Source organism: Homo sapiens, chromosome 3 (genome assembly GCF_000001405.40).
Source record: "Homo sapiens chromosome 3, GRCh38.p14 Primary Assembly".
NCBI lineage: Eukaryota > Metazoa > Chordata > Mammalia > Primates > Hominidae > Homo > Homo sapiens.
The window spans coordinates 69,212,113-69,232,751 of NC_000003.12; the positions used below are offsets into that span (position 1 = coordinate 69,212,113).

The window sequence follows — 20,639 nt, forward strand, 5'->3', positions numbered from 1 at the left end:
CTTTGGGAGGCCCGAGGCAGGTGGATTGCCTGAGGTCAGGAGTTCGAGACCAGCTTGGCCAGCATGGTGAAAACCTGTCTCTACTAAAAATACAAAAATTAGCCAGGCATGGTGGCAGGCACCTGTAATCCCAGCTTCTCGGGAGGCTGAGGTAGGAGAATCACTTGAACCCAGGAGGTGGAGGTTGCAGTGAGCCAAGATCGTGCCATTGCACTCCAGCCTGGGCAACAGAGCGAAACCCCGTCTCAAAAAAAAAAAAAAAAAAAAAGAAAAAAAAAAAGAAAAAAAAGAAAAAAAGCGATAACAAAAGATGGACTGTGTAGGGTCTTTTTAAAAATGGAGTGGCATGTTTTGGAACTGAAATAAAAAAACCCTGCAAATCCAAAAAAGGAAGTAGCTTCTGACCCTTTTCTAGACTCTGGAATGAACAAGCAAAACTGATTATGATCAGTGTCAAGAAGTATTTGCCAATTTCTATGAAACTGTGAACGTAAAGAAAGGCCTGTGAGTCATAAGTACAGGAGAGGAAATTAACTGCAATATTTACTGTGCAGATTCTGATTCACTACTGTTTTGGGACAAAGCCTGGTTGCTGTTAGCAGATGCATTTACATTCTGCTGGAAGCTCAATCTTATCAAGCCACATTAGCTAATAAATTACTTGTGAGTTGTCCTAATATTTTACATGGAAGATTCAGAAAAACCAGTAAGACTCCTGAGTGTTATTTCTTAAGTAAAATTCAGAAGAGAAATAAGTTAGCAAAAAAATCTCAATACAAGTGAGGTCTACCTTAAGAAAACATGATAGACAGCATTTTGGTCTTGCAAAATAGATAAACTAGGGTAAGGTATTTGTTTGACTGGGTTTTTTTATTATGCTCTGCAAACTCTCTCCACTCCTACAAATGGAAACAAGTATGATGTCCATCAAAAGTGAAGTGGTTAAATAAATTATGTATTTCCACATCATGAAGCACTAGGCAGCTTTAAAAAAGTGAAAAGAAATCGGTTTATAAGTGAGCTAGAGAAATATGGCAAGGTATGAAACACTGTATATATTAGATTTCTCTGTCTTTGTAAATGCTTAGAATATACACTGACAAAATCTAAATGAACTGGTACCATTTTTTTAACAGTTGCTGGTTGTCATGGAGGAAAAATGGGGATTGCAGAAGACTTCTTCCCCTAAAGCATTTTTTTGTAGTGTTTGCTGCCATTTTTTCTTCCTTGCCCTCATGAGTATTTCTTACTCTGGGTAAAAAAAAAAAAAAAAGCTAACAATAAATAAAATTGATTTTAAAAAATATTTGAAAAAATTGGGTATCCTTCATTTCTAATATTATTGATTAGAAATTAGGTTTTAGAAGTCAATTTTGAAATATAAGCAGGAACAATAGTACTTATACTCCTCCTGGAAATTAATTAAGTATTCCTTAAATTGATCTTGGTCACAGAGCTTATAGAATAAAAATGTTAACAGTATGATTACAAACATGCTCTCTCATTGTCCTCTACTGCTTGTTGAATGATGCGCTGTTGTTTTCATTGATTTTTTTTTTTTTTTTTCTGACACAAGGTTTTGCTCTGTCACCCAGGCCGGAGTGCAGTGGCATGATCATAGTTCATTGCAGCCTCAACCTCCCAGGCTCAAGTGATCCTTCTACCTCAGCCTCCTGTATAACTGGGACTACAGGCATTTGCCACCATGCCTGGCTAATTTGTTAAGTTTTCTTTTTCTTTTTTTTTGTAGAGATGGGGTCTTGTCACATTGCTCAGGCTGGTCTTGAACTCCTGGCCTTAAGTAGTCCTCCCATCTTGACCTCCAAAAGCACTGGGATTACAGGCATGAGCCACCACCCTCGGCCTTATCAATAATTTCTAGTAAGAAGCCTCAACGCCCTACTAGCCTGATCCAGGAAAGCTGGATCAGTATTGGAGGTGGGTGGCAGAGGGGATATGGCTTTCCCTAATCTACCCTTTTGTGTTATCTGTGTCAGTTTCACAACCATAAAATGGGGAAAAGAGGGGGTTTTATTTATTTTCATAACTCATAGAAGACTGTGTGCAATGATTCAAGCTGCATGGACACTTAGAAGATGAAGAGTACGTATGATTATAGGGCTGTTTTATAAAGAGATTGGCTGTTTTTCTAACACACATGAAAGCAAGAGACAGATGGAAATTACAGGAGTTATTTAAGGCTGTGATGTCAGGTTGTGATAATGCAGGTAGCTGACCATGGTCTGTTATTAGAGGCCATTGTTTTACTCCTGTGCTTTCAGTGATGGCAGGATGGCACAGGGAGAGTGGCAAAACCAACCAGGGCAGCATGAGTCAGTCTTGATGTCACTGTCATACCAAAGGAAGCCAAGAGCAGCTGCATGGTGATCTATATGGATTCTTCAACTCTAATATGGGCAAAAACGTGTTGTACACTTGAGCTTGGATCAAGAGAAGCAGATTCAGCTGAGCACAGTGGCTCGTGCCTGTAATCCCAGCACTTTGGGAGGCTAAGGTGGGAAGATCGCTTGAGCCCAGGAGTTCAAGACCAGTCTGGGAAAAATAGTCAGACTTTGTCTCTGCAAAAAACTTTCTAAAAATGATCTGGGCATGGTAGCATGTGTCTGTAGTCCAAGCTACTTGGGAGGCTGAGGTGGAAGGATTGCTTGAGCCAGGGAAATCGAGGCTGCAGTGACCTGTGATCAGGCCACTGCACTCCAGCCAAGGGAACACAGCGAGACTCCATCTCAAAAAATAATAATAATAATGAATTTTTTTTTTTTTTGAGATGAAGTCTCACCCTGTCGCCCAGGCTGAAGTGCAGTGGCGTGATCTCGGCTCACTGCAACCTCTGCCTCCCAGGTTCAAGCAATTTTCCTGCCTCAGCCTCCCGAGGAGCTGGGACTATACGCGCATGCCGCTATGCCCAGCTCATTTTTTGTATTTTAGTAGAGACGGGGTTTCACCTTGTTGCCTTGGCTGATCTCAAACTCCTGAGCTCAGGCAACCCACCCGACTCAGCCTCCCAAAGTGCTGGGATTACAGGTGTGAGCTACCGCACCCAGCTAATAATGAATTTTTTTAAAAAAACAGCTTCATAGTAAAATTTTAAATGGACATTAATGTTAGTTATTTAACCCTGGAAATCCAAATCTGATAGATTGTGACCCTCTTTTTTTTTTTTTTTTTTTTTTTTTTGAGATGGAGTCTCTCTCTGTTGCCCAGGCTGGAGTGCGGTGGCACAATCTTGTCTCACTGCAACCTCTGCCTCCCAGATTCAAGCAATGCTCGTGCCTCAGCCTCCCGAGTAGCTAGGATTACAGATGCCTGCCACTACACGTGGCTAATTTTTGTATTTTTAGTAGAGACGGGGTTACACCTTGTTGGCCAGGCTGGTCTCAAATTCCTGACCTTCTGATCCACCCACCTTGGCCTCCCAAAGTGCTGGGATTACAGACAGGAGTCACCATGCCTGGCCTGTGACCCTTTCATAAATAGCACACAACTGATTTTTCTCTACAAAAAGCAGACATGTTCACTGCAGAAAATGGTGAAACAGAGATAATAGCAGCAGAAGAAAGAAGACTTATACCTGCATCATTGAGAGATCACTAGCACCAAAACTTTTGGGTCATGTCTTTATTATTCATTTATATGTCTACCATCCAATTCAAATATGTATATGCATAAATGTACATATAAAATTTATAAAATAAATGGCATCATCCTGTTCATACTAACATAAAATAGAAACCTAATGGTGTGTGCTTGTGGCTCACGCCTATAATCCCAGCATTTCGGGAGGCCAAGGTGGGCAGATCACTTGAGGTCAGAAGTTTGAGACCAGCCTGGCCAACATGGCAAAACCCCGTCTCTACTAAAAGTACAAAAATTAGCCGGGTGTGGTGGCGTGTGCCTGTAATCCCAGCTACTTGGGAGGCTGAGGCAGGAGACTCGCTTGAACCCAGGAGGTGGAGGTTGCAGTGAGCCACTATCAGCCCACTGCACTCCAGCTTGGGCGACAAAGTGAGACTCCATCTCAAAAAAAACCAAAAAAACCCCAACAACCTAATGGTGTGTGCTTTTCAACTATGTTGTGATTAACATGTTTTGAACAGTTCAAAGTTCTCCTAAAGTGATCCACACTTACCTTCCGAGGCTTCACCTTGTCTTGTATATCATATTGGCCAATTCCCTTATAGCTTATTCCAAGCCACCAAGGAAGTCCTTGCTTATCCTAGAAGATGAAAAAGCATGAGAACCAAGACCTAGCTGTTAACTCTTCTAGAAGTGAATAAAATTTACCAATTTCACCTCTTTTTTTTTTTTTTTTTTTTTGAGACGGAGTCTCATTCTGTCACCAGGCTGGAGTGCAGTGGCATGATCTCGGCTCACTGCAATCTCTGCCTCTGGGTTTGAGCAATTCCCCTGCCTCAGCCTCCCTAGCAGCTGGGATTACAGGTGTGCACCACCATGCCTGGCTAATTTTTTTGTATTTTAGTAGAGACGGGGTTTCACTATGTTGGCTAGGATGGTCTTGATCTCCTGACCTCATGATCCACCCACCTCAGCCTCCCAAAGTGCTGGGATTATAGGTGTGAGCCACCACACCTGGCAATTTCACCTCTTAACAAGTATCAGCAAGTCAAAATAAAGCTGTCTTGATAAACAAAACATTTAAAAACCTAACTTGTTATTAAAACACCTACTTGGAGTTTCTTCAAATAAAATCTTTAAGTTGAAATAGTCCAGGACTGTTAATACCATCAAAAAGAGTAAAGCATTACTGTTTTGATTAAACAGTTGGAGAAAATAAATAAAATGTAAGTAATTCAACTAAGAATTAATCCAGTAAAAAGCCAGTTATCCATTAAAAAAAAAAAAGCTCTTTGCCTCTTAATTAGTAACCAGTTATAAAAGGTTGGGGACGTTTCCAAAGAATTACAAAGATGAGAAAAGTGGTTCCAATTCCTGATGTTTATAAAACAATTAACAATGAACACGGGAATATCGAAAACCCTTTTGGAGAACTGTACAATTCAATGACAGGATGTTTGAATAATTGGTTTGAGGTACATACGGGGAGGTGAGTAATATTGTTTTCATAAATTTATCTTTTATGTTTTGCCAAAGCAAAGAATATACTGACACAGGAAAAGGAAAATTTAGGCTTAGACAGATACCTATATGCACACCAGAGTCAGTAGAAATTAAAGTTAAATTGGAGGCCAGGCGTGGTGGTTCATGCCTGTAATCCCAGCACTTTGGGAGCCTGAGGCAGGTGGATCACCTGAGGTCAGGAGTTCAAGACCAGCCTGGCCAACATGGTGAAACCCCATCTCCACTAAAAATACAAAAAATGAGCCAGCTGTGGTGGTGCATGCCTGTAATCCCAGCTACTCTGTGGGCTGAGGCAGGAGAATTGATCAAACCCGGGAGGCAGAGGTTGCAGTGAGCTGAGATCACGCCACTGCACTCCAGACTGGGCAATAGAGCTAGACTCCATCTCAAAAACAAACAACAAAAAAAGTTAAATTGGTACCGATTTTTAGCACAGGTATTCTCATTATGTAAATTTTCTAATTCCCCATCATTTTGAATTGTATAGAGATATGAACATTATCATAACATGAAAAGTCAATCAAGAACTGATCAATTATAAAATTATTTCTCTTCCAAACAAGATATCCTTAACACTTTCATCTCATCATCTCAAAATATGTCAATCTCTCCCTGCTTATAAACATCTGAAAATACTTTTCATCATCTCAAAATATTTGTCAATCTCTCCCTGCTTATAAAACATCTGAAAATACAGTGTATGTAATACACTGATTAAAACATGGTATTGCAAATCCTGTAAAAATTTCAGAATTTTATGAAGCTGTTGAAATAACGCTGGAGACTGCATAATTTTCAAACAAAAGCACTCTCAAATGAAGATCTGGTAGTGCTAGAAAGGTGACCAACTGGAAAAAAGACCAATCAGCAAGCAGAGGTGTTTCGAAAGAGAATGATCTGAACATTTTAGGATGAAGAGAGGTCTTGGAAAAACATTTTAACGTAGCAAGTATTTTGCAAAAATAATGTACTTTATAATTTGCTACAAAAGGCAAGATATAATCAGCCTTTTATATAGTATGAAAAAAGCTGGTATTGTGCAATAACTCTCAATCATCACGAAAGCTTTGTCATGTAAAATTACTTACCTTTACTGCATAATAATGGACACCGTAAGTCGGTAGAGCTTCTACTATTTTCATATACCTATGGAAAATAAATATGTATCACAATCTTATTAAAATAGTTAGAGGACCCTTTTGGGAAAAGTGATTTAAAGAAACACCACGTTTCTACTTTCCTTATTATAAGAATAATTAATATGTTTCACTCAAGTAGAAACAGAATAAACCATTTTGGGGAGTAATATATTTTAGCTTATCCAAATGTCAGGAAAATGCTAATAGAACCTCAATTTCATAAAGCTATAGAAAATGTTACTTTCCACACATTCAAATGTTTATGGATTAGGAATGTACCATATTATAAACTCCATTTGCAAGTATTTTTTAAAGTAAGCCCCTAATGATGCAAGCTATGGGCACCAACTTTTGGGTCATACTCATAAGTTAAACAATAAAGCTATGCCATATATTGCTTGTGGTAGAGGTTAAATAACTAGAAACATCTGTCAAAACTCCTAGAAATATATACTTTAAAACTATGAATTATGGTATGTAAACCTGACTTAAAAAATATGTCCCCCCAGGCTGGGCGCGGTGGCTCACGCCTGTAATCCCAGCACTTTGGGAGGCCGAGGCGGGTGAATCACCTGAGGTCAGGAGTTCAAGACCAGCCTGGCCAACATGCTGAAACCCCATCTCTACTAAAAATACAAAAAAATTAGCTGGGTGTGGTGGCGGACACCTGTAATCCCAGCTATATGGGAGGCTGAGGCAGGAGAATTGCTTGAATTCGGGAGGTGGAGGTTGCAGTGAGCCGAGATTGCACTATTGCACTCCAGCCTGGGTGACAGAGTGAGAATCTGTCAAAAAAAAAAAAAAAGTCCCCCCAAAATAAAAATTAAAGCAACGATGCCACTACTTGCTATTTTTAATTCAGTAGTGTTTATTGTACACCTTTAAGGCTTTGGGGTGGACTAAATTTTGTAACGCTTCCTCTCTGCCCGCAAGGAACTGAGGCTCCTGTTTTAACGCAAGTAGACTTTTTAATGACATTTTGATGATCAATTTCTCCAGGAAGTGTAATGAATAATTTGACATATTTTTTAAAAGTAAATGGCCCGCATGCAAATGAATATAAGAGGTTAAATGTGTCAAGGTCATGCAGCAACTAAACTGCACAGCCAGAATTCTAACAAAATGAGTCAGACTCCACATCCTAGAGCCTTAACTACCAAATGAAACCGTCTCTTAGATGAAGCCACACAATAATGATCAGGAGAAAGAATAAGACTCTGCATTTAAGCATGGGTACTTTTTTTTTTTTAATTGTTTTTTAGTTTCCAGGGCACATGTGCAGGATGTGCAGGTTTGTTACATAGCTAAATGTATGCCATAGTGATTTGCTGTACCTAACAAACCATCACCTAGAGATTAGGGCCAGCATCCATTAGCACTTTTCCCTAATGCTCTCTCCCACCCCAGCCCTCTCCTGACAGGCCAGTAAGTGTTGTTCTCCTCCCTGTCTCCATGTGTTCTCATTGTTCAGCTCCTACTGATAAGTGAGAACAAGTGGTATTTGGTTTTCTGTTCCTGCATTAGTTTGCTGAGGATAATGGCTTCCAGCTTCATACATGTCCCTGCAAAGGACATGATCTCATTCCTTTGTATGGCTACATAGTATTCCATGGTGTGTATATACCATATTTTCTTATCCAGTCTATCATTGATGGGCATTTGGGTTGATTCCATGTCTTAAGCATGGGAACTTTGTAATATACAGTCACACATTGCTTAACAATGAAGATACATTCTGAGAATTGTGTTGTTAGGTGATTCTGTCCTTGTGCACACATCATAGAGTGCACTTACACGAACCTGGATGGTAGAGCCTACTACACAGTTAGGCTGTATGGTATGGCCTATTGCTCCTAGGCTACCAACCTGTACAGCATGTTACTGGGCTGAAATACTGTAGGCAATTATAATACAATGGTAAGTATTTGAGTATCTAAGCATAGAAAAGATACAGTAACAATATGGCATTATAATCCTATGGGCCCACCATTGTATATGTGTACAGAAATGGTACATGACTGTACTCACTAGTTTACCTTAATACCCTTAATGGAAATTGTCACTACTTCTTTTTACTTTTCAGTTCAGAAAACAGGCACAATGAATTAAAATGTCAAGGATCCAATTTCAAGATGCTAACTTCTGATTTCTGCTGCAAAGATAACAGAAGGTGTGTTTTGATAAAAACAAGATTAGAGGCTAGGCACAGTGGCCCATGTCTATAATCCCAGCATTTTGGGAGGCCGAGTTGGGCAGATCATTTGAGGTCAAGAGTTTGAGATCAGCCAGGCCAACATGGGGAAACCCTGTCTCTACTAAAACTACATAAATTAGCTGGGCATGGTGGCATGCGCCTGTATCATCCCAGCTACTCAGGAGCCTGAGGCACGAAAATCGCTTGAACCCAGGAGGTGGCAATTGCAGTGAGATGAGATTGCATCACGGCACTCCAGCCTGGGTGACAGAGCAAGACTCTGTCTCAAAAAGAGAGATTAGAGCAAAGAAGTAGGAGTGTGAGGAAAATCTACAATCTCCAAGCCCTTATTTCAGTTTTCACGGGCATAGAAATAATTTTAAAAGTTTAGTGTAGCAACTTTTTTTTTTTTTTGAGACAGAGTTTCTTTATTGTCACCTGGCTGGAGTGCAATGGTGCAATCACGGCTCACTGCAACATCCGCCTCCCTGGTTTAAGCAATTTTCCTGCCTCAGCTTCTCGAGTAGCTGGGATTACAGGTGGTTGCCAACATGCCTGGCTAATTTTTGTATTTTTAGTGGAGATGGGGTTTCACCATGTTGGCCAGGCTGGCATCGAACCTCTGATCTCAAATGATCCGCCCTCCTCAGCCTACCAAAATGCTGGGATTACAGGCATGAGCCACTGTGCTGGCCTGTTCTTAATAATGGGTGGTAACTCTATAAGTCACAAAATGTAGAAATACATTACAATGGCTTGTTGTTAGTAGCATGAAGAAACAGACTATCTAACACCAATATACTATACACTCGACTCAAATTCGAATCACAAACTGGGGGACAAAACATGGCTTCTAGATAGGTTTTATTTGGCTAACATTGCATTAAATTTTCTTTAAATTACTTCCCAATGAGATAAGATTTAAAAATCTGAATTTCCAGCTTCTCCTGGAAAACAAAGGATCTGGCAACATTATGCCTGAATTCTAAAGCTGAGTAACCTTGCCTCTACTCAGGATGAAAGCTCACCTGTTTACCACAGTCCCCACCATTCTCTATTGCCCTACATCTGGTCTACATTTCTCATTTTTTTACTTGCCTGACACTGGTAGGTATCTGAGTTGGTGACACCAATGTATAGAATGACCGAAGACATTTTCTAATTCACAGTAAGATATTTCTAACCAGATAAGGACTATGTTCACAAAAACTACACAACAGAAATCATTTCAAGTGATACCTTCAGATGAGAGATATTAAAATTATATCTAAGCAAAAGGAAAGATACTTACTGAACCACAGCTTGACCTCGAGTGAGACCTTTGATTTTCAAATAATGCTCAATTACCCTGTCCTCACTGTAAAACAAAGAAATGAGAAGGATTGCAATGCATGATTATCTGAGGTACAGGCACAGTTTCCACATTATCAGGTGGCTGTCAGGAAACTTGAGAGAGAAAGCCTTCACCAACTTGTTTGGTAGATAGAGTTTGGCTTTTGTTTCTGTAGGAGATGGATTCCTGAACTTCAGACATTTGACTGCCTCCATTATCATCTTTAACTTATGTTTTATGTAGCATATTTATATAATATATATATTACTACCTTTAAAACTTAAAGTGCACAGCCAGGCGTGGTGGCTCACGCCTGTAATCCCAGCACTTTAGGAGGCTGAGGGGATCATGAGGTCAGGAGATTGAGACCATTCTGGCTAACACAGTGAAACCCCATCTCTACTAAAAATACAAAAAATTAGCTGAGTGTTGTGGCATGTGCCTGTAGTCCCAGCTCCTCGGGAGGCTGAGGCAGGAGAACTGCTTGAACCTGGGAGGTGGAGATAGCAGTGAGCCGAGATTGAGCCATTGCACTCCATTCTAGGTGACAAGAGTGAAAATCCATCTCAAAAAAAAAAAAAAAAAAAAGACTTAAAGCGCAGTGGCTCATACCTGTATTCCCAGCACTTTGGGAAGTTGAGGCAGGCAGATCACCTGAGGTCAGGAGTTTGAGGCCAGCCTGGCCAACATGGTGAAATGTCGTCTCTACTAAAAATACAAAATTAGCTGGTTGTGGTGGCGCATGCCTGTAATCCCAGCTACTTAGGAGGCTGAGGCACGAGTATCACTTGAACCCAGGAGGTGGAGGCTGCAGTGAGCCGAGCTTGCGCCATTGCACTCCAGCCTGGGCAACAAGAGCAAAACTCCATCACAAAAACAAAAAACTTAATTTACTAGAAAAGGAAACAATATCAATTTCTCCAATGGGAAATGATCTTTTGCCATAATTGGATGGAATATAATACACATAAAATAATGATATCAAATGTTAGCTGTAGAACATTATTGAAGAAATTTTGAGCCTAAGGCCTATCCTCTCTTTGGTTAAAACAGGGAGATCAGCAAGTGTTAGGCATTAAAGACTTTCTCATTGAATGATTCAGAAAGATTTTACAAGAATTTAAACTGCTTCTGAGTCTGTGTGCAATCTAAAATACTCTACTATCACCATTTACAGACATGTTGCTTTAGGAGAAAACCCTTTTATTGCCCTAGAGTAAAACTTGTTGACTGGAAAGGAAATCTCAAGTATAACCTAGAAGATGAAGTATTTCTATCTCCATATGACTAGTTCTCATTAGTAATGTCTTTTTTTTTAATTAAAAAACTATCAAGGCTGGGTGCAGTGGCTCACGTCTGTAATCTCAGCACTTTGGGAGGCCGAGGCAGGCGGATCACGAGGTCAGGAGTTCGAGACCAGCCTGGCCAACATGGTGAAACACCTTCTCTACTGAAGATACAAAACATTAGCTGGGCATCGTACCGTGTGCCTGTAATCCCAGCTATTTGGGATACTGAAGCAGGAGAATTGCTTGAACCTAGGAAGCAGAGGTTGCAGTGAGCGGAGATTGTGCCATTATATTCCAGCCTGGGTGACAGGGGGAGACTCCGTCTCAAAAAATAAAATAAAATAAAAATAGATAAAACTATCGCGCTTGGTCGGGCCCGGTGGCTCACACCTGTAATCCCAGCATTTTGGGAGGTCAAGGCGGGTAGATTGCCTGAGGGCAGGAGTTTGAGACCAGCCTGATCAACATGGTGAAACCCCGACTCTACTAAAAATACAAAAATTAGCCGAGCCTAGTGGAGGGTGCCTGTAATCCTTGCTACTCGGGAAGCTGAGGCACAAGAATCACTTGAACCAGGTTGCAGTGAGCTGAGTTCATGCTACTGCACTCCAGCCTAGGCGACAGAGCAAGACTCTGTCTCAAAAAAACAAAACAAACAAACAAAAAACTATCACTTGAAAATGACATGGCTAGAAGTTTCCAGAGTCAAGATGCTATGTAGCCTCAGTACTTACTTTCACTATATATTTGGGAATATACTTCCAACTTCATACTAAATGTCTCAATATTGAATATCTATTTTGTAATCTTTATTTTGTAACATTTTAGTGGAAAGAAAAACCATCTTGAGGATTCAGACTGAAACCAAGGAGAATATATTTAACAAGAATGTAAGTATTTTAAGGGAAAACGTAATTTAGAAAAAAAATATGGGATGAAAATGGATACTATGGATTCACTAATGTACAAACAACTAAACCAACTCAATATATACAATATCTAGCTGTAGTAGAAACCTCTGGTCATTATGAAAATCTCTGATCCAAGGAAATCTGTATTTTATAACACTTATATTGCATTCTGCTAGATTAAAGCTGCATTACACAGTGACTGCACATATATTGAATATTATATATTCACCTAGGAGCATACTCTACAGACATTTTACACACTTGAAAGAAACATCAGCCAGCTGCTCTTTGCAAATGACTGCAAGACACATCTTGGTACAATGATCTCCAGTAAGCTTTGAGTAGATCCTTTCACTGAAAGGATCAAGGTCTACCTATGGTTACTTTATACAATTGATTGGCAATGTGATATTTTTCCCACTTATATTTCTTTTAATGCCCTGAAAAGCATGTAGTTCTGAATGGAGGCTATGAAAATGAGACACCTGTTATGTGGATTTGGCTTACCAGTAGGCAAGGGATGGATGCTCCTGAAGAGTTTTGGTTGGAAAGGCTGGTAATGTCTTTAAATCTTTCCTGGCATTTTCATCACTAAAAAGAAATGGAATATGGTAATGTCAGGTACTGTTATCCAAAAAATTATGCAAGCCGGTCACCAAATGAATTAGATTAAAAAAATAACTATTTACAGCATGTTGGAGCCAACATACACATGGTTATGGACTCTAACTAGAAGCAGCCCCCAAATTTAACAACTGAGTTATATGATGAGATGTTGAAGTTTATAATATTTTCTGCACATGTCTATTTTACACGTAACTATGATTATAATTGTACATTTTTCACATTGTATTTTTACAGAATATTCTTCACATTTCATTATCCACTTTCTCTATGTTCCTACAGTATCTTACTAATCATCTTTAGTGGCTACATAATATTCATCATGGTGGAATACTGGTTATCATGAAACCATTCACATAACATCAACAATTTTTCGTAATAGATATCATTGCAATGAAAAGGTTTATGTAGTCTTTTATATTACTCTTCTGTTACTTCCTTACAACCCTCTGAAATATAGCAGACCAACTCAACCACCTGTAGAAATCTCTTGAATAGAAGATGACTGGAAAACGTGTTTCTAATGAAACCCAAGGTATCTCTTAAGTCACATTAAGTGAACTAAAATGTACCTCATGTAAGGTTAGCTATTATCTAATTATAAAATGGCAAAATTCTAGTTGTCAAGAGAAAGTTGTGGTCTTTACAGAACTTTAAAAAAGGGAGAACAGGCCGGACACAGTGGCTTACGCCTGTAATCCCAGCACTTTGGGAGGCCAAGGCGGGCAGATCACAAGGTCAGGAGATTGAGACCATCCTGGCTAACACGGTGAAACCCTGTATCTACTAAAAATACAAAAAAAAAAAAAAAAAAAAAAAAAATTAGCCAGGTTTGGTGGTGGGTGCCTATAGTCCCAGCTACTTGGGAGGCTGAGGCTGGAGAATGGCATGAACCTGGGAAGCGCAGCTTGCAGTGAGCCGAGATCACGCCACTGCACTCCAGCCTTGGCGACAGAGCAAGACTCCGTCTCAAAAAAAAAAAAAAAAAAAAAAAAAAAAAAAAAAGAGGGAGAACACGTAATACTACCCAGTCATAGTTGGTTATGAGAGAAAATACTCTAACTACTGAGTATTTAAGGACATAATCTATGAGGAAATGAACATGATTATCTAAAGCCTATTAGAGGGTAGCTACTCAAAATTCTGATGAAACTGGTGTTCATCAAACAGCATAATGCTAACTCTTCCTACCTTCCACTTCTTCCTATCTTTACCACTAGCTACCCTTCGATGAAAGGCTCCCAAGTGCCAGATACCATGCAACACACTTCTTGGGCATTATTTACCTCATGTAAGGTTCACCACAAGCATTCCCATGCAGTAGATACTATTATTATCTATTTAAGTAGACGAGCCCCCCAGCTGGAGGGCCAAACACTGAACCATTCCTTGTTGCTATTACATTTCAAAGCCAGGGTTGTGGCCTTTCCTACAGGTGAAAGATCTAGCTTTCCAAATTACTACAGGAAATAAAAAGTCACTTGGCTCCTGTTCTTACATAAGAATAAATCTCTCTATTCATTTGAAATCTGAGAGTTATGGCTTAACCACACTGACAATCTTGGGAAACTGGTTTGTGCTTCCTGAAAATCAAAATATACCACAATCCAATTCATTCATATTAAAGGTCAACTGTCAACTCCCAGTATATTTATTTTTCTTAATAATCTCTCTTATGTTCTGTCTGGCATACCACATTTACTTTTTTTTTTTTTTCCAAACCTAAAACTGTCAGATACCTTTACTTCTAAATTGTGAGTTTTTTTAATGAAGGGCAAATGCATGCATGTATTCAAAAATGATAAATTCAGGACAACATCGTGTTATGAAATCATCCCCATCGACCACATGCATGTTGTTATTTCTGGATCCAGGTGAACCATAGGCTATGTTTCAAGAACCCAGCCTAGCATTCACTTACTTGGATTACAGTTAATTCTGTGGCAATGGAGACCTCACTAGATCAGAAGTTGCTATTTATCATAAATTTATTTATTCAGTTAACAAAAATATGTAGAACGAGTGTCATATGATGGAACTGTTTTTAACTCATACAAATGCAGTCAGCCAAAAGGGAAAGGAGAATAGGGAAAGAAGTGAGGGAGAAATTTTATCTGTCATTCCATTCAATAAGCTCATGGTTGAGAGTAAGTACAAAACGGGTGACTTGAAGCTGTTGTCCTTAGTCCTATGTCCCTCAAAGCACAAGTATCTCACGACACTGAGATTTTTCCAGCATTCAGGCATTTAATACATGTCTGCTAAACTCAAGCAATCTTTATATCTAGTGCCTAAAGAAATAGCTGTGTGTTTCAACTGGAGAAAAATACCACCTGTGTTGGATTTATTGAAAGATGAAGTTTAGTCTTCAGCATATCATTTTCCCAGCGATTTTCAAGAGTAATTTGAACTATACACAATCAGAATCTACTCCAGTTATAAGATGTTATTTGTTTAGAAATTCTGGCTGAATAAATCAATAAATTACTACAGGTTAATCATGAGCCAGTATCTGAGATAATGATGAATATTCATTCATTAAGACCTTTTTTTGAGTACTGATCAATCACTGAGAAGCAACTAAAATGTGCGTTAATAGGGAAGTGGATTAGGATCATTTTAAGGAGAGTTTAGAATACCTTGAAAAAAAGTATTCTTAACCGGGTGCAGTGGCTTAGCCTATAATCCCAGCGCTTTGGGAGGCCAAGGCAGGGGGATCACCTGAGGTCAGGAGTTCAAGACCAGCCTGACCAACATGTGAAACCCCGTCTCTACTAAAAATACAAAAATTAGCCTGCTGTGGTGGCAGACACCTGTAATCCCAGCTACTCAGGAGGCTGAGGCAGGAGAATCACTTGAACCCAGGAGGCGGAAGTTGCAGTGAGCCGAGATCGCGCCATTGCACTCCAGCCTGGGGGACAAGAGTGAGACTTTGTCTCAAAAAAAAAAAAAGAAAAGAAAAAGAAAGAAAGAAAGAAAAAAGTATTCTTAAAAAGATGGAGCACAGAAGATTTTTAGGGCACTGAAACTATTCTGTATGATACTGTAATGGTGGATATATGACATTATGCATTTGACAAAACCTGTAGAACTGTACAACACAAAGAGTGAACCCTAATTTGACTATAGACTTTTGCAACAAATGTACCACACTAATGCAAGATGTTAATAATAGGGGAAACAGTGGGGGTGGGGAAAGGGGGTATAAAGGAACTCTCTGTACTTTTCATTCAGTTCTTCTGTAAATCTAAAACTGCTCCAAAAAATGTTTATTAAGAAAAACGAAGAAAGAAATATACTTTAGATTAGTGGTTCTCAACGTGGGCAATTTTGCCCCTCAGGGGACGTTTAGCAATGTTTGAAAGCATTTTTGATAGTCACAACTGAGGAAGGAGGTGTTACTGGCTTCTACTGGGTAGTTCCTATAATGCACAGAACAGCCCTCAACAACAAAGGATGATCCTGCCCAAAATGTCAATAGTGCTGAGATTGAGAAACCCTGCCTTCAATGATAAGAATCCTGAAAATTCTACACTAATACTCTACAAAGCATATCTTTTAGACTTACAGAATTTTTCTCTTATGTCACTCTGAATATTAGACATCTCAGATGCAAATATCTTGGGGCCAAGTGAGACAGGCATTAGAAAATCAACTGGGTAAGCGAGCTGAGAAATGTAAGTCAAACTCACCATCAGACCTGGGGACACTGAGATATGGTGTGAACTCTGAAGAGAGGAGAACATTGCCCATGTTTCATATAAGATACAGATTTGACTCTGTGTGATAGAGATCAAAACTTTAATTTATCTTCACATAAGTCAGAGCTCGCTGGGCATGGTGGCTCATGCCTATAATCCCAACACTTTGGGAGACTGAGCTGGGAGGATCTCTTGAGCCCAGGAGTTGGAGACCGACCTGGGCAACACAGTGAGACCTTGTTTCTACAAGAAATTTTTAAAAAATTAGCCAGGTGTCATGGCATGTGCCTGTGGTTTCAGCTACTTGGGAGGCTGAAGTGGACCACTGGAGTCCAGGAGTTCAAGGCTCTAGTGAGTTATGATTGCACCAATATATTACAGCCTGGGCAACAGAGTGAGATTCTCTTATTTAAAAAAAAAAAAAAAGAATGGAGAGAAGATGCCTTCTCAGTTTCTTGGTTTCTAGTTTCAGATAATCAGATAATTTGCTAACTGCAAATTGTCAATAGTGATTGATTAAAGGCGACAAGTAATTTAGGCAAATTACTTGTCTCGCTACTTGTGGAATCTTGACTATCCCTCAAAATCATGTTTTTTTTTTTTTTTTTGTTTTGTTTTTGAGGCTGGGTCTTGTTCTGTTGCCCAGGCTGGAGTGCAGTGGCTCAATCATGGCTCACTGCAGCCTCAACCTCCAGGGCTCAAGTGATCCTCCCCGCTCAGCCTCCAAAGTAGCTAGAATCACAGCTGCGTGCCACCATGTCTGGCTAAATTTTTAATTTTTCATAGATATGGGGTCTCACTATGTTGACCTGGCTGATCTCAAACTCCTGGCCTCCAGCAACCTTCCTGCCTTAGCTTCCCAAAGTGCTAGGATTACAGACATGAGCCACCATGGCCAGCCCCCCAAAATTACATTCTCAGGGAAGAACATGGCCTTATTTCTTCACGTTAGAAAAGGCTCCTGTTAATCATCCAAATCTGGTCGTTTGTACTATTGCAAAATATCCCTTGTGAATATATAACATCACTTTCCTATAAGAACCTGTTTAATATAGGAATTTTCCAGCAAGCCATCACCGATATTTGAAGTGGTTGAGCTGTGGACGTGACTATAACACTAAAAGAGAAAGCCAGCAGAATAATCGAAAGACGACTGACACAGATAGCTTGGCAGAAAAATGAGTTAAACTCTTCAACAAGCAGTGTATAGAAGTAGAATTCCAAATGGCCAACAGAAAAAAGTGTTCATCTTCATAAGTTATCAAGGAAATGCAAATTAAATCCTCAATTAATTACCAATACACAATGGAGTCTCACTCTGTCGCCAGGCTGCAGTGCAGTCGTGCGATCTTGTTTGGTCCTAAACAAGGACCCGGGTTCAAATGATTCTCCTGCCTCAGCCTCCGGAGTAGCTGGGACTACAGGTGTACGCCACCATGCCCAGCTACTTTTTGTATTTTCAGTAGAGACAGGGTTTCACCATGTTGGCCAGGAAGGTCTCTATCTCTTGACCTCATGATCAAGAGATAGACCGCACCCGGCCAGACTATCAAACTTTTTTTTTTTTTTTGATATGGAGTCTCGCTCTGTCACCCAGGCTGGAGTGCAGTGGCGCAATGTTGGCTCACTGCAACCTCTGCCTCCCAGGTTCAAGCAATTCTCTGCCTCAGCTTCCCGAGTAGCTGGGATTACAGGCGCCCTCCGCCACGCCTGGCTAATTTTTTTGTATTTTTAGTAGAGATGGGGTTTCACCAAGTTGGCCAGGCTGATCTTGAACTCCTGACCTCGTGATCCACCTGCCTTGGCCTCCCAAAGTGCTGGGATTACAGGCATGAGCCACCTCGTCCGGCGACTATCAAACTTTAAAACTCCAACAAGGTCTAGTTTATATGGAGATGAAGTGCAATAGGAACTCTCATCCATTACTAGTAAGAGTGTCAATCGGTACAATCATTTTGGAAATTTGCATACCCTATAACCCAGTAATCCTCTGCTAGGTATATTCCCTAGAGAAACTTATATACAAGAGTAAGATTTAGGACCAGGCGTGGTGGCTCACACCTGTAATTCCAGCATTTTGGGAGGCTCAGGTGGGTGGATCACCTGAGGTCAGGAGTTTGAGACCAGTCTGACCAACATGGTGAAACCCCACCTCTATTAAAAAAATATAAAAATTAGCCAGGCATAGTGGTGGGCACCTGTAATCCCAGCTACTTGGGAGGCTGAGGCAGAAGAATCGCTTGAACCTGGCAGGCAGAGGCTGCAGTGAGTTGAGATCGCATCATCGCACCCCAGCCTGGACAACAGAGCAAGACTCTGCCTCGAAAAAAAAAAAAAATTTACACTAACATTGTTCACACAAAAGAACAACTCAAATATCCCATAACAGTATAAATGCTTAAACTGTAATGTATTCATGTAATAGAATACCACGCAGCAAAGACAACAGACAATAGCTACACACATCATGAATGTCACACATATTGAGCAAAGATACAAGTCCCCAAATAAGAAACACAATCACTACTTCATGTACATAAAGGTCCAAAACAAACAAAATGAAACTAGAAACAATCACACATAGGTGATAAAACTATGAGGAAAGACAAGCACTCGATCTCATCTCATCTGGGAAGCTAAGTAAGGTTGGGGCTGGTTACTTCTTGGATGGGAGACAGCCCGGAAATACTGGGTGCTATAGGCTTAACAAAACAAAGACAAGAAAACATTTACCATAGAGTCAGAATGCCCATGAGGAAAGAGGGAATTTTATTGGAGGTAGGAAAGTACAATATACAGTGGGGGGCAGGAGGCTTCTGGGGTCCTGGCAACATTCCTCACTGGCTGTGGTTGTATTGCTGCATCCTTTTTTTCTCCTTATTTTTTTCTCCGAGACTCTGTCACCCAGGCTGGAGTGCAGTGGCACCATCTTGGCTAACTGCAACCTCCGCCTCCTGGGTTTAAACGATTCTCCTTCCTCAGCCCTCCCAGTAGGTGGGACTACAGGTATGTGCTACCACGCCCAGCTAATTTTTGTATTTTTAGTAGAGACGGGGTTTCGCCATGTTGGCCAGGCTGTTCTCGAACTCGTGACCTCAGGTGATCTGCCCGCCTCCACCTCCCAAAGTGCTGGGATTACAGGCGTAAGCCACTGTGCCCGGCCCAGCTGCATCCTTCTAATTTGTTCTTTATACCAATATACATGTTTTACACATTATTCTATGTGATATAATTCACAACAAAAATGGAATCAAGTATGGCCAGTTGAGTGGATGTGGGGAAAGCCGAAGTTCAAGATCACTGCCCTGTTATGGGGAGGTGCTGCAACGGTAACGTAAGAGGTTAGAACCTACTAAACCAAAAATGAATCCACTGGGATGTTAGAAACACTGGCATATTATTATAGAAGGTTAAGCTCGATCGTTTCCATAGTTTAGGATCAAACGGGATTTCACGTTTGAGTGGACTGGCAGTAGCTGAGTGCTCATTTGTTCACCCTCCCGGGGAATCTGTCTGGGAGCCTGAGGCTGCAAGGGATCTACGGAGCTTGTAGGAGCAGCCAGGTCTGGCTTCTGCACAGAAGGCCCCTCCCTGGCCGGCTGGGCAGGAGGCATGATTTATGAGTCAGGATCAACCTCAGAGTTCAGAGGGAGGGCCCAAAAGTAGTAGGGGAGGTGAACAAGCCTCAATCGGGATGTCTCTGCCTTTCACCAGCAATAAATACACTCAAACTGACTGGACATTACTGACCCTAATGGCAACGGATATGTTATTTTAAAGATGCACTTGACCAGAATTGCCATGAGGGACTGGTTTCTCCGGGTCCTAGCCAGAGAGAATGCCCATAAATCTACATCACTTGCTACTTCTCAGTGACCAAACCAGAAATTGCTTCTCTCCATAATTTCAGCAGGAATTCAGATGTCACAATGAAGAACATGCTTGCATTTTATCTGATTATCTAGGCTGAACTCCTCCCTTAGGCATTCCAGATTCCTATTTCGATAACTTTCCAGAAGGAAGCTGCCCATGACCCACTATTTAGCTACTACAACTATTTCTCAGGCAACAATTCCTTTGGTCATTCTGAAGCCCCCCTTTCACAGGCTGTTTTTCTTTACTGACCCCAAGTACCCTGACGGAATGTGCCAACCCCACTCATTTTTGAGAAAGCCACATGGCTGGCAAAACTGAGGCTACTCTTTGTGTGTGCTGGAGTACTTGTGTGGAAAAAGCCACCCCCAGCAAATGGGTGCACCTGCTTGTGGCTAATTGTGGGCTTGTACACAGCAACAATCAGCCACCTGCTATCAGAGACTGGCGTAGA

General features: G+C 40.6%; 1 protein-coding gene across 15 annotated transcripts in view, besides 1 other annotated feature; it reads right to left on the reverse strand.

Moving 5' to 3' along the window:
- The window catches only part of FRMD4B (FERM domain containing 4B), a 373,805-nt gene that overhangs the window by 43,331 nt on the left and 309,835 nt on the right, over nt 1–20,639 (reverse strand). For all 15 annotated transcript variants that reach the window (XM_017005993.2, XM_047447767.1, XM_047447771.1 and 12 more), the window contains 4 exons: nt 12,495–12,578; nt 9,746–9,811; nt 6,210–6,267; nt 4,151–4,237 (listed from right to left, as the gene is read on the reverse strand). In XM_017005993.2, the coding sequence (XP_016861482.1) occupies nt 4,151–4,237; nt 6,210–6,267; nt 9,746–9,811; nt 12,495–12,578 (295 nt within the window). The remainder of the gene's footprint in view (nt 1–4,150; nt 4,238–6,209; nt 6,268–9,745; nt 9,812–12,494; nt 12,579–20,639) is intronic.
- Nucleotides 18,831–19,595: an enhancer, noted in NCBI's record as "H3K4me1 hESC enhancer chr3:69280094-69280858 (GRCh37/hg19 assembly coordinates)". NCBI's record gives its function as "activates a minimal SCP1, AML or CMV promoter by ChIP-STARR-seq in naive H9 embryonic stem cells {active_cell/tissue: H9 hESC(naive)}" and the evidence as "EXISTENCE:reporter gene assay evidence [ECO:0000049][PMID:30033119]".